This window comes from Homo sapiens, chromosome 7 (assembly GCF_000001405.40).
Source record: "Homo sapiens chromosome 7, GRCh38.p14 Primary Assembly".
NCBI lineage: Eukaryota > Metazoa > Chordata > Mammalia > Primates > Hominidae > Homo > Homo sapiens.
The window spans coordinates 2,609,154-2,622,191 of record NC_000007.14 but is presented as its reverse complement, the minus strand read 5'-3'; the positions used below and the strand labels follow the sequence as shown (position 1 = coordinate 2,622,191).

At 54.9% G+C, this 13,038-nt stretch overlaps 1 protein-coding gene and 1 long non-coding RNA gene across 7 annotated transcripts in view, besides 2 other annotated features; one reads left to right on the top strand and one right to left on the bottom strand.

The window, feature by feature from the left end:
• Window positions 4-7,609, top strand: LOC107986760 (uncharacterized). Of its 2 annotated transcripts, none has more exons than XR_001745069.2 (3): window positions 4-314; window positions 4,391-4,542; window positions 7,216-7,609. It is a non-coding gene; the product is annotated as an uncharacterized LOC107986760 (long non-coding RNA). The 2 variants fall into 2 exon arrangements; XR_001745068.2 differs by lacking the exon at window positions 4-314 and adding an exon at window positions 797-879.
• Window positions 7,464-13,038, bottom strand: part of IQCE (IQ motif containing E) — a 55,750-nt gene continuing 50,175 nt past the window's right edge. For all 5 annotated transcript variants that reach the window (XM_017011902.2, NM_152558.5, NM_001410865.1 and 2 more), the window contains one exon: window positions 7,464-12,148. In XM_017011902.2, the coding sequence (XP_016867391.1) occupies window positions 12,030-12,148 (119 nt within the window). In that variant the 3' untranslated portion in view covers window positions 7,464-12,029. The remainder of the gene's footprint in view (window positions 12,149-13,038) is intronic.
• Window positions 10,972-11,545: an enhancer, noted in NCBI's record as "H3K4me1 hESC enhancer chr7:2650281-2650854 (GRCh37/hg19 assembly coordinates)". NCBI's record gives its function as "activates a minimal SCP1, AML or CMV promoter by ChIP-STARR-seq in primed H9 embryonic stem cells {active_cell/tissue: H9 hESC(primed)}" and the evidence as "EXISTENCE:reporter gene assay evidence [ECO:0000049][PMID:30033119]".
• Window positions 11,546-12,119: an enhancer, noted in NCBI's record as "H3K4me1 hESC enhancer chr7:2649707-2650280 (GRCh37/hg19 assembly coordinates)". NCBI's record gives its function as "activates a minimal SCP1, AML or CMV promoter by ChIP-STARR-seq in primed H9 embryonic stem cells {active_cell/tissue: H9 hESC(primed)}" and the evidence as "EXISTENCE:reporter gene assay evidence [ECO:0000049][PMID:30033119]".

Here is a 13,038-nt window from a genome sequence, read left to right as displayed (position 1 = left end):
TCTGTGTCTCTCCTGAGCCCTGTCGCCCCTGCCACACCTGACCCACTGTGTCTGGCCACCTTGGGGCCCTTCCCATCCTGGAGGTGGGGGCCCTGCTCCCTTTTCCTCTGGAAGGAGGCTGATAGTTCCCTGGGCCTGGAAGGTACTCGCCTCCCCCACCTGCTCAGCTGCAGCCCCGACTCCCTTTTCTGGGATACCAGAACGGCTCCCCAACACTGGGTCTAAACCACCTGGGTCCACACCACCCTAGAGGGGAGCCCTTGGCTGTGGTCTGCCCCACTTGGGTTCTCCACACCTAAGCCAGTGGAAATTTGGTGAGTAAATGAATTTAGGATGGGTGAAGTGGCTCATGTCTGTCATCCCAGCACTTTGGGAAGTCGAGGTGGGAGGATCGCTTGAGGCCAGGAGTTTGAGACCAGCCTGGGCAACATGGCAAAAAAAAAATAAAACAAAACTTAAAACTTAGCCAGGTGTGGGAGCACACACCTGTAGTCCCAGTTACTTGGGAGGCTGAGGTGGGAGGATTGCTTGAGCCCAGGGGTTCAAGGTTGTAGTGAGCTATGATTGCACCACTGCACTCCAGCCTGGGCAACAGAGTGAGACCTTGCCAAAAAAAAAAAATTATTTCCTGGCCCCAAAGATCCAGTCCTCACAGAGCTTAGTCTAGTTGCAAACAGACGAAATAAACCCCAATATAATGTGTACAAAGTGCCCTCAGGTGCAATAAATACTAAAACACACACGCGGGCTGGGTGCAGTGAGATTACAGGGAGGAGGAGCTGATCGTGAAAAGCTTCTCAGCAGAGGATCACCCAGGCCGGCTCCACGGGAAGGACATTCCTGGCAGCAGAAACAGCACAGGCGAGAGGCCAGCTGGAGGTGGGGGAGGGCCCGGCGTTTTCCGCAAAGGCCCGCGGTCAGGGGTGTGTGGCTGGAGGGGAGGCCAGACGAGGGCAGGCGTGGGGTGCCGCGTGGAGCTGCTGATGGGATCCAGGGTGCCACGTGGGACCTGAGCAAGTCTGTGGAGCAAGGGGCTAAGGAACGGCTCACCCTGGTTCTGGACTAAGAGTCCCGTAGTAGCGGTGGGGAGGCGAGACAAAAGCCCAGGACCCCAGAATCAGTGGTGCCAGAGGGAGATGAGGCTACTCTATACTTTTCTGTTTTTCTTTTTATAATGTGTTAGATATCTTTGTTTTTTCTTTGAGACAGAGTCTCGCTCTGTCACCCAGGCTGGAGTGCAGTGCATCTCCAGCCTCCCAGGTTCAAGCGATTCTCGGCCTCAGCCTCCCGAGTAGCTGGGATTACAGACACCCGCCACCACGCCCAGCTAATTTTTGTATTTTTAGTAGAGACGGGGTTTCATCATCTTGGCCAGGCTGGTCTTGAACTCCTGATCTCATGATCCACCCGCCTTGGCCTCCCAAAGTGCTGGGATTATAGGCGTGAGCCACCATGCCTGGCCAGATATCTTTTTTAAGAAACAAAATGTTGGCTGGACGTGGTGACTCACGCCTGTAATCCCAGCACTTTGGGAGGCTGAGGCGGGCAGATCACGAGGTCAGGAGATCAAGACCATGCTGGCTAACACGATGAAACCCTGTCTCTACTAAAAATACAAAAAATTTAGCCGGGCGTGGTGGCAGATGCCTGTAGTTCCAGCTACTCGGGAGGCTGAGGCAGGAGAATGGCGTGAACCCAGGAGGCGGAGCTTGCAGTGAGCCGAGATCGCGCCACTGCACTCCAGCCTGGGCGACAGAGCGAGACTCCGTCTCAAAAAAAGAAACAAAATGTGACTGTAAAATAGAAATGGCCCATGGGAAACAGCCAGGTGAGTATGTGAGGGGAGGCATCGGATCGGAGTGGGAGCATCCCTCAGGGTCAGAAAGGGAGGAGCATCAGGCTTAGGAGGTGGGAGGATGAGGCAGGGGCTGAGATTGGGAGGCCGCTGAGCTTGGCATTGGAGGGTGGTTCTGCAGGCTGAGGCTGAGGGGTGAAGAAGGCCCTGGTTTCATTCTGGGACAGTTCAAATAGAAGTGGGGGATTCCCCTTCCCCCAAAAAAATTATCCTTCATGGCCTGGTGGCTCACACCTGTCATCCTAGCACTTTAGGAGGCTGCGGTGGGAGGATCGCTTGGGCCCAGGAGGTCGAGGCTGCAGTGAGCTATGATTGCACCACTGCACTCCAGCCTGGGTGACAGAGCAAGACCCTGTCTCTACAAAAATAAAAATGAGGCCTGGCGCGGTGGCTCACAGCTGTAATCCCAGCATTTTGGGAGGCTGAGATGGGTGGATCACTTGAGGCCAGGAGTTCTAGACCAACCTGGCCAACATGGCAAAACCCCGTCTCTACTAAAAATACAAAAACTAGTTGGGCGTGGTGGTGTGGGCCTGTAGTCTCAACTACTCAGATGGCTGAGGCACGAGAATCGCTTGAGCCCGGAGGCGGAGATGGCAGTGAGCCGAGATCGCGCCATTGCACTCCAGCCTGGGCGACAGAGCGCGACTCCGTCTCAAAAAGAAAAGGAAAAAGAATGAAAACATTAGCCAGGTATGGTAGCACACACCTGTAGTCCCAGCTACTTGGGAGGCTGAGGCCAGAGGATTGCTTGAGCCCAAGAGGTCAAGGCTGCAGTGAGCTGTGATTGTGCCACTGCACTCCAGCCTGGGGTGCAAGATCTTGTCTGTAAAATCAATAAATACATAAAATTTTTAAAGTATCCTTCACAAAAGAGGGAGCTGCCTTCTTAAGTCCTTAGAAAGTATCTCATAGCATGAGGCTCTCAATTAGTTTATTTTGACAGCCACACACTGTTTGGGAACCGACGGAGGAGTCTGAAAGCTGGGAGCAATGTGTATGGAGGTCGCCTGGCAGAATCCACTAAAAAGATGTCAGAAATAAATTTAACTCAGATTAGTCATTTTTCCAGGAGCAGAACCTCACATTTGCAAGCATTGGCTGTCTTTGTGAATCAGACTTTAAAACGTTTAAAAATACAGCCAGCGGTTCCACTGTGGAAACGCGATCATAAAGTGACACCACCTGGACCACCGTCCTCAGGTCCAGCACACCGGCACTCGTGGCTTGGGGAGAAATGCTCCAATCATGGCACACCCTGTTCAGAATTTTTTTTTTTGGGACAGAGTCTTGCTCTGTCGCCCTGGCTGGAGTACAATGACGCGATCTCAACTCACTGCGACCTCCACTTTCTCCGGTTCATGCAATCATCCCACCTCAGCGTCCCAAAGAACTGGGACCACAGGTGCATGCCACCATGCCCAGCTCATTTTTGTATTTTTGTAGAGAAGGGGTTTCACTATGTTATCCAGGCTGGTCTCACACTCCTGGATTCAAGCCATCTACCCGCCTCGGCCTCCCAAAGTGCTGGGATTACAGGCGTGAGCCGCTGCGCCCGGCAGGAGCAGATTTCTCAGCCGTCACGTGGATTGCAAACAGCTTAGATGGAAGTGGAGATGTCGTGCACGGGAAACTGTGTTAGAGGATCCAAAACATGGGGACGAAGCTGCTGGTGCAGCCAAGTCCTGGGAGCACCACCAGAGGCATGCTCCTAGATCAGTGTCTTCTTTTAGCTATGACTTGAAATATGCATGATGTGTGACCAAATTAACATATTAATTATTCACAAGTTGGCATCTGACACTTTCGTCCACACCTATAAAAAGCTCACACTTTCAAGTTGGCTGGATGGGTTTTCTTTTTTGCAGTCTCCTCTTTGGAAAAGTGGAGCCTCACATAGCTCAGGCTGGCTTGAGCTTCAAGTGCGCGCGCGTGTGTGTGCATGTTTGTGTGTGTGTGTGTGCGCGTTTTATGTGTATGTATGTTGTCATGTGTGTGTGCCTGTGTGTACGTGTGTGGGATGCAAATTTGTGTATGTTTCTGCCCTTGCAGGTGTGTTTGCATGCATGTTTGTATGTTTGCATGTGGGTTTGTGTGTATTTGTACGTGTTTGTGTGCACGTCTGTGCGAAGTGTGTGTGTGTCTGAGAGTGCATGCATTGGTGTGTGCATGTTGGTTTTGTGTGTGTTTTCAAGTTTGCATTGTTTCATGTGTGGGCATGTGTTTGCAGGCATATGTCTGCTCATGTGCAGGTGTTTGCATGTATGTTGCATTGTGGTGTTTTGTGTGTGCACGTGTCTTTGTGTGCGTGGACATGCAGCAGTCTGGCATGTTCAGGAGTTCAATTTTGTCTTGGAGCCCGTGGGAACTGTCTGGTGGGGTCACTTGGCCTCACTGCAGATGTGGCAGCAGAGTTGAGGGCTGCTGAGGGGGTAGCCCCTGTGGGGCCTGGTGAGAACGGGCAGGGAGACGGGGATGATCTCTAGGTTTCTGGCAGGGACAACCATGTGGCTTGTGATGTGGTTTACTGAACAGGGAGCAGGTCATGAGGGAAGATAAATTGAAGCCGAGCCAAGCTGAATTGGAGGCATCTGAGACAAGAACGTGCGGACGCCCAGTGGACGATCCAGGCAGGCTGGGGTGTTGGGGACGGAGCCGTGGATACACCCATACTCAACAGGCAGAGGGTAGGACCGGGTGCCAGAGCAGAAGAGAAATCCCGAAAGCAGGGAGGAGTGATGAGGCGGGAAGGGTGCACTCTCGGGCGAGGGTAGCAGGAGCGGTGAGCATAGTGGAGCCAGCAGCCCACAGGGTGCTGGAGGGGGAAGTGGGTGAGAGAAGGGAATGGGGCGGGGCGAGGCTGCAATGAGCGGGAACCAGCTCCCTTTGTATATTTTATGCGAGCTTCGCCCCAGCCCACCCACTCACACCCTTCCCTGCTTTCATTCCTTTGCGAGCCGGGCCTGGGAAGGGAAGGGCTGGTGGGGAGGAAGCCCCCAGACAGGGCTGCCATGAATGGCAGCCGTGGGAGCCCTGGCAGCGCTGGACTCTGTCCTTTGAATCCCAGGCTGCTCTGGGACTTAATTAACGAATAGCTCAGGGGCACCCTCTCCTCTTATTCAGAAAGGGACACAGCACCATGGTAACGTCCCCAGGTTCCTGAGGCAGGCCCCATCTAATGGGGCTGGCCCTCGGGGCTGACACTGGGCCCTGCTCCCGGGATCCAGTGGGGAGGTGCTGGCCAAAGGCCATTAGCTGGCACCCACGCAGAGACACGCCACCCTGTTCTGCAGCCCGTCATTCATATTCCAAGCCCGACAGCAGTGCTGAAAGGAGCGAGGGACTCAGAGGCTTACTTCTTTTTTTTCCTATGTCCCCCAGGGACCTTGGAGGAATCTCATATTTAAAACTGTCTTGGCAAGAGCTTGTGGTGACCCTCACTCGGTCTTTGAGGAGGCCCTCATGCACTCAGCGCACGTCTGGGAGCACCAAAAACCAGAGGGCTGGATGGGGAAGAGGAAGAGGGTTCTCCCCGTGTGCCTGTGCGCGTGCGCATGGATGTCCACGCTCACATACTTCCATGTCTATCCATACCCCGGCCCACGGTGGGTGGAGGCCTGAGGTTGGACCTTCTCTCTCCTCCTCTCGCCAGTTCTAGCTGAGAAGCCCCCACAGGCTGCCTCCTCTCTGCTCCTGGGTCTGAACCCCTAGGGGAGATCACAGCTGGCGACTGCGGGGGCAGCGAGCTTGCAGCGGGCGAGTGCCTGGTGCACCATGCTCTCCAATGCCACAGGCTCCCTCAGGCCCTACCAGCTCGTCTGCAAAGTGCAAGTCTGCAAATGAACCGCTTGCCAGGACAGCACACAGGCCATCGGAGTGTAAAGATGGGCTCGGGGCAGGCCACGGTGGCTCGCACCTGTAATTCCAACACTTTGGGAGGCCAAGGTGGGAGGATCGCTTGAGGCGAGGCATTGGACACCAGCCTGGGCAACATAGCAAGGCCCCATCTCTACCAGAAAAATATATTTTATTTATTTATTTATTTATTTATTGAGATGGAGTTTTGCTCTTCTTGCCCAGGCTGGAGTGCAATGGCTCACTGCAACCTCCACCAAAATAAAATTTTATTTATTTATTTAGACGGAGTTTTGCTCTTCTTGCCCAGGCTGGAGTGCAATGGCTCGCTGCAACCTCCACCTCCCGGGTTCAAGTGATTCTCCTGCCTCAGCCTCCTGAGTAGCTGGGATTACTGGCATGTGCCATCACGCCCGGCTACTTTTTGTATTTTTAGTAGAGACGGGGTTTCACCATGTTGGCCAGGCTGGCCTCGAACTCCTGACCTCAGGTGATTCACTGCCTCAGCCTCCTAAAGTGCTGGGATTACGGGCACGAACCACTGTGCCCCACCCCTCAAATTTTGTATATTAGCCAGGTGCGTACCTGTAGTTTCAGCCACTTGGGAGGCTGAGGTGGGAGGATCACTTGGGCCTAGTAGTTCGACTAGCCTGGGCAACTTAGCAAGTCCTCATCTCTACAGAATTTTTATTTTTATTTTTTTGAGACAGAGTCTCGCTCTGTCGCCCAGGCTGGAGTGTAATGGCGCCATCTCGGCTCACTACAACCTCCACCTCCCAGGTTCAAGCAATTCTGCCTCAGCCTCCCGAGTAGCTGGGACTACAGACGCACGCCACCATGCCCGGCTAATTTTTGTATTTTTAGTAGAGATGGGGTGTCACCATATTGGCCAGGCTGGTCTTGAACTCCTGACCTCGTGATCCGCCTGCCTTGGCCTCCCAAAGTGCTGGGATTACAGGCGTGACAGAAATTTTTTAAAAAGTGGTTGGGCACAGTGGTGCACACCTATAGTCCCAGCTATCTGGGAGGCTGAGGCAAGAGGATTGCTTAAGCCCAAGAGTTTGAGGCTGCAGTGAGCTATGACTGCACCACTGCACTCCGGCCAGGGCAAGACAGCAAGACCCTATCTCAATTTAAAAATATACATATATTTTCACACACACACACACACACACACACACACACATATAAGATCGATAGAGAGAAAATAGGCTTGGGCAAATGCCAGAGCCAACCACAGTAACTGTGGAGGCTTCGGACAAACTCCACTCAGGATTTAGGGCCCCAGGGCAGGCAGCCACAAGCACACAAAGCCACAGATGCTCCTTGTTCTATGCAACAAAATATTGGAAAACAAAACCCAGATATCAGCTCCTTTTGGTCGTTTCCATCTGTGTTTGATTCCTCAGTAAATTATTCTTTCCCTGCTCCTGAAACAAAAATGAAATCAAATATGGAGAAATAACTCCCTCACGCACGCACATTTTTGTGTCCTCATATCTAAGGAATAGATATTCGACGGGGGACCGGGGTGTCAACAGATGTATCCGAGTTCATGCGTGGCAGGGAGCTGGCGGCGGGACCCGTCCCTCCAGCTGGCTCTCCAACCCCAAGCCTGCATTACGACCACGGCAAAATGCCAGAAGCCCAGAGAAGCGGGGTTTCTGAAGCGGATCGTTTGTTCAGCCCGAGTGCGTGGGGCAGGAACACACCTGGAGGTCATTAAAGAGAAGTCTTCACGGGGCACTCAAGGCACACTGCAAAACAACTTTTTATTTAAAAGGCCAATAATGAGAATAATGAGTTGCACAAGAATGAAAACCTTATCCCTTCCAAAAGATCGGCCTATACATTATGTATAAAGTTAGAATAATTCTAAATACAAAATGCCAAAGACCAGCGGGTCCACTCCTTCCTCTCCTAAGCCATCTTGACAGTTTCACATTTCAGCTTCCAGACGTCATTTCTGTTGCTTTTAAGGGTGCTTACCCAGCCGTGGTCTGTACCAGACAGGGTAGTTGGCACAGCGTAGGCACTGCCAGCAGGCCCTTGGGAGCTTGGCGAGGTGGGAGCCTTGAGAAATAGCTGGCTCGGACCCATGGCGGGGTTTGTGTGTCAACTCCCTGGTCCTCAGAGAATCCGAGCCACGGGAGAGCAAACGCTGCTTCCAAAACCAAAGGAGGAATTTTGCAATCGTTTAGACGGGTTATAATAGAATCTCATTCAGATCTTGAAGGTTATCGGTGCTTTCTGCAGGTTTTTATTCCTCAAAAATGCAGCCAAGCTTTGCTGTGCTTATCTTGGTGGATCTGAGCTAGGTTGGGCTATCTTTTCCTAATTCAATTGCCTTTTTTTTGCAAGGAAGGGGGTTTCTGGTCCATCGGAGGGATCAAGGGCATGGTCCTCACGTCTCGTCAGGAGACAAAAATAGACATTCAGCAGACAGACCACAGCCAGCGCATGCGACCAGCGTCGTTTGGCTATTTTAGTCTCTTCTTAATACACAGACAAACGAGCAAAGAAAAAGCTACTTTGTCCAACACCGGGCCCTGGGTTGGAGTTTAGCCCTGCTTGGCTCTGCCCGCTAGTCTCAGTCAGGTCACTCACCCCAGGCCTGCGGGAACGGTGGTCTTGGTGGTCTTCTCTGGCCCTTCCACCTCTTCTGCCTTGTGGGGACCACCCAAGCCCTCTCCCGACTTGCCCAGAGGCTGCACGCCTCTCTGGCATCACAGTCCGCACGGAGCCTGGCTGTAAGGCTCCACTGAAATCCCCCCGGCGCTGGCTTCGTGCCCCAGGCACACCCACCTCACTTCTGCCTCTTTTCTGCTGGTTTCTGGCCTGTTTGGTCCCAGCCCCTCCCTGCACTCTCTCCGCAGCTGTCTGGTGGGTGATGTGAACCAAGGGACACCCAGGGTCATGGCACTGCCTGGATTCAGTTTGGTAATCGTCGGCAGTCTGTCCCTGGCTTCTGAGCCTGGGGCCTCCTCCTCTTTCTCCCCATCCTGGATGAGCAGGACACGCTGGGGAGACAGCGTCCTACAAAGGCCTCCTAAGAGCTGTGCCCTGTGCCAGGAAAGCCTCCTGTATCTCCAAGGATGTCCCTGGAGCCCTCCAGCTGGTGCCTCTGCTGAGGTCTGTGAGCAGCGGGAATAGGCCTCTAGGGGAGGAGTTGGGGACAGGCCTCTAGGGGAGAGCACACCTCCGGGTACTGCACCTGTGGCTCACCAGCCACCTGCACGGGGCCAGCTTCAGCCTCAGCAGTGTCAGCTCAACAGACGTGACTGCTGTCAACACAGTGGGGCCAGGCCCTGGAGACTGACATCTCCTGTGGCTGCTTGTTTAAAGGGCATGGGATAGAGAAAGAGTGTGTTATTTTAAAGCTGGACTACCTAACAGCCTCTGATAGCAGATACAGCTTTGCTGCTGTTCTTGAAGTTCAAGGTGATGTGGAGGTGTTGCAGTGACAATCAGTACACCGTGAACAACACCTGCCACCAACGTCGACCCTGAAGTGGTAGATGGGGCCTGCTTTGGCACTTGACGCTGGGGCAGGAGTCCCTTTCTTGGGGACTCACTCTCTACTTCGTCTCCCCCGGGAGTTGTCTACTTTCCTAGGCCCTGCCAGCAGCCCCCACAGCTCCGCCCAGCCCACTCCACCAGCTTGCTGCTCCCATGGCTCAGCCCCACTCACAGCTCACCCCTCCCATGGCTAGGCCCCATCCACAGCTCACCCCTCCCATGACTAGGCCCCGCCCACAGCTCACCTCTCCCGTGACTAGGCCCCGCCCACAGCTCACCTTTCCCATGGCTAGGCCCTGTCCACAGCTCACCCCACCCATAGCTAGCCCCATTCACAGCTCACCTCTCCCATGGCTAGGCCCCACCCACAGCTCGCCCCGCCCACAGCTCACCCCTCCCATGACTAGGCCCCGCCCACAGCTCACCCCTCCCATGGCTCCATGGGCTTCTCTTCCCCTCCTGCCTAAGTCCCCGCAGGGCCAGAACCCCTGGCCCCCAGGCCCTGGGGCCGTGGGCAAGGAGGCCTCTCCGCTTGGTACTGTCTCCATGGAACAAAACCACACTGCAGCGTTCCAGGACCACAGAACAGCCAGGCAGGCTGTACCCAGCAAAGGGGACTGGTGACCAGCACTGGACACTGGGCATCAGCTGAAGACACTGGCTTGAGAATGCATTGCCATTTACCCAGCGAGCTTCAAGATGGATGCTGGCTTTTAAAAGAGCAGCCCAGCTGCACCAGAGGACATGGCGGTTTATGTATGGAACATTGGCCTCCAAGCCTGAGGCAGGAAAGCCCTCTCCATGCCTGTAACCCAAAGCTCTAGGCCACTGGTTCCCAAGAGTGAGCACGTCCCGCAGAAACAGCTTGGTTTAACAAGTGGGAGCAGCTGCCACAAGAGAACGGAGGGTCTCCCCCAGCGAATGTGCAGGTGTCTCACTTTCTCAGGGCTTTCGAGGTGGACTGGCTCCTAGGACCTGAAGCTTTGAGCTGGCAAGCAGGGATGGCTTGGGACAGCGCCCCAGGGAGTGGACCCGGGCGGGTGGGGTGAAGGCAGGGGTCTAAAGAGGGCCTGTGTCAGTTACACAGTCCATCAAGTTACCAGCCAGTTCAGTGGAAAAAAAAATGGACTTGGCAACCCACAGACCAAATAAGGAAAACACGTACACAAGCCAGGCCCCCCGCTGACTCGCTTCCACCCACTGCAGAAACAGAAGCTAAGTGGAGACAGGGGCCAGGCTTCGAACCGCAGGGTGGGGCGGGTCCTGCACTTTGGGTGGCCCCATCCCTGAGTGACTGGGAGAGAACAGGCTGGGCTGGGGACACCTGTGTCCTCCTCCCATAGAGCAGGTGGACATGCAGAGCCTCCTCTCTCCCTTTCACAAGCCACTGTGTTGGGGCCATCGGCCTTCTGACCGCCACAGAGAATGACCCAGGCTCAGCTTAGGTGACTCAGAAGGCCGCCATGCTGCAGAAAAGGCGCCCAGGGGTTAAGCCTGTCCCCGTGGACGGAAGCCTTGGGAGAAGCTGTCAGCTGTGTAAAAAGGGGCTTTCTAACCATTGGGTCTCTCCTGAGACAGCGGCCAGCCCCGGCAGGAGTCCCCACAGGGGTGCTGTGGAAATGCAGACACCAGGCCTGGGCTGTGCAGGGGTCTAGATGCCCCTGAAGGCCCGCCCAGGTCTAAGGCTCTTCCTCTTGACGCCCCAGCAAGGGCTAATCTCACACACAAGCAAGAGATGGGCACTGGACACTGTGCGCTTCCCCCAGGAACTCCCTCCTAGGCCTCTGCAGCTGCTGGCTCCACAGGCTCCGCACGCCCGGCCCAGCCCAGCCCAGCCCAGCCCAGCCCAGCCATGGAGCTTGGGAGTGCAGAGGCCGCACACATGGGGTGACGGGGACTGTCCCAGACACCAGATGCAACACGCCCCACCACGAGCCTATGCTGTCCCTTGGAACGGCGAGCCTGCCTCCTCACCCTCCTCTCCTCCTCTTCCCCGGGTGGCCCCACACAGGCTAAGGCTCCCGCCACCAGCTTGGGAACAGACATCACCCTGCTGTTCTCAGAAGCAAGTGTGATGCTGCTTTTGTAATTGGGAATTTTAAAAAATCTTGGTCTCCACAGTGACAGAATCCAACCAAATTCCTTCCTGGGAAGGGCAGCTCTGGAGGGCAGTGCTCCAGGGGATAGCAAGGGTGACGGGAAAGGACGGTGTGAGCGGGTGGGGCATGGAGTAAGATCATTTGGGGACCTGGGTGTCTTTAGCTCCTCACTGGCTTGGGACAGGCCGTGTTTTGCTGTGGGGATGGGGGAAGCCGGTCTCACACCTTCCTAAGGCACAGCGGGGTGTGTCTGCCTGGCCTGCTGGGCTGAGATCGAGCAAATCCTGGTTGTTGAGGGTGTCACCAGGAAGAGGGGGCATGGTGTCGGCGCTGGTTGCGGATAGCAGCTCCTCACGGTCAAGGTCGTGGGCAGGCGGCAAGGTGCTGTCAGAGAACGTGTCACTACAGGGCTCCCTGGCATCTGCGAGTTCACGGCAGATGTGTCTGTTGGCACTGAAAATCCACCATCCGAGCTGCAGCTGGAGATGAGGGGGATGCGAGCCGCTGGCCCTCCCCAGAGAATAAAGTAAAGGCATTTGGGTCTCCTTCCACAAACAAAAGCACAAAGAGACACGACGCAGATGCTGAGGTGTTAAGTAGGTATCATCGTTCTTCTCCTAACACGATAAATTATCTTTCCAGTCGTGGTTCCTATGTCCTCGGCAGCGCTGCCATCACGGCGTGGAGACAGTGACGGGGACCTAAACTGGAAAGTTCTTCGTGGGCAGAGACGGTGCAATGACAATATCGTCGGAATCATCGGAGTTGACGTCATCCCCAGGTAGAGGTGCCAAGGCCTGTGGCCCTGAGGGAGAGGGGTCTGCAGAAATGAACCACAGGGAGAGGGGTCAGCCACGCTGACCTCAGGGGCTGCCACCACGGACACCCTTACACTGTCTGCTCTTCCCCGGCAGGCAAGACGGCAGCCACCCCGAGAAGCAGTAAGCCATGGGGCACACAGGCCCTCAGGAGCAACTCACACACCTGCCAGAAAGCCTCACTCTCCGCCCTCAGGACCAACTCACACACCTGCCAGAAAGCCTCACTCTCCAGCCTCAGGACCAACTTACACACCTGCCAGAAAGCCTCACTCTCCAGCCTCAGGACCAACTTACACACCTGCCAGAAAGCCTCACTCTCCAGCCTCAGGACCAACTTACACACCTGCTAGAAAGCCTCACTCTCCAGCCTCAGGACCAACTTACACACCTGCCAGAAAGCCTCACTCTCCTCACCTTCAAACTCAGCTCTGAGTATTCTCACCATTTCCCCCAGTCAAAACACCTGCAAAAGCAGACATTTGCCAGCATGGAGGAACCTCGAGTCCACACTGGAGTCATTCCCTGAAAGCCATTCCCACAGCAGCAGTCCAGGAGTCTGGGGCCTGGGTGGGTGGCTACCCGTGTGTAGGAGCGTTTCTGCTGGGTGCAGTGGCTCATGCCTGTAACCCCAGGACTCTGGAGGCCGAGGTGGGAGGGTGGCTTGAACCCAGGAGTTCCAGACCAGCCTGGGCAACACAGCTAGACTGCACTTCAAAAAAAAAAAAAAAAAAGCCAACTTCCCTGTTAACTCGCTGGCCACTGGTATAGAGGGCAGGAGGGGGCAAGGCACGGATCGCTGTGAGCTTGCAAGCTGCTCGGCCATTCCCCCTTGGATGCTCCTTCCTAAGCATCTAGAGCGTTCCAAACTTTTAATCCATTCTAGAATGGG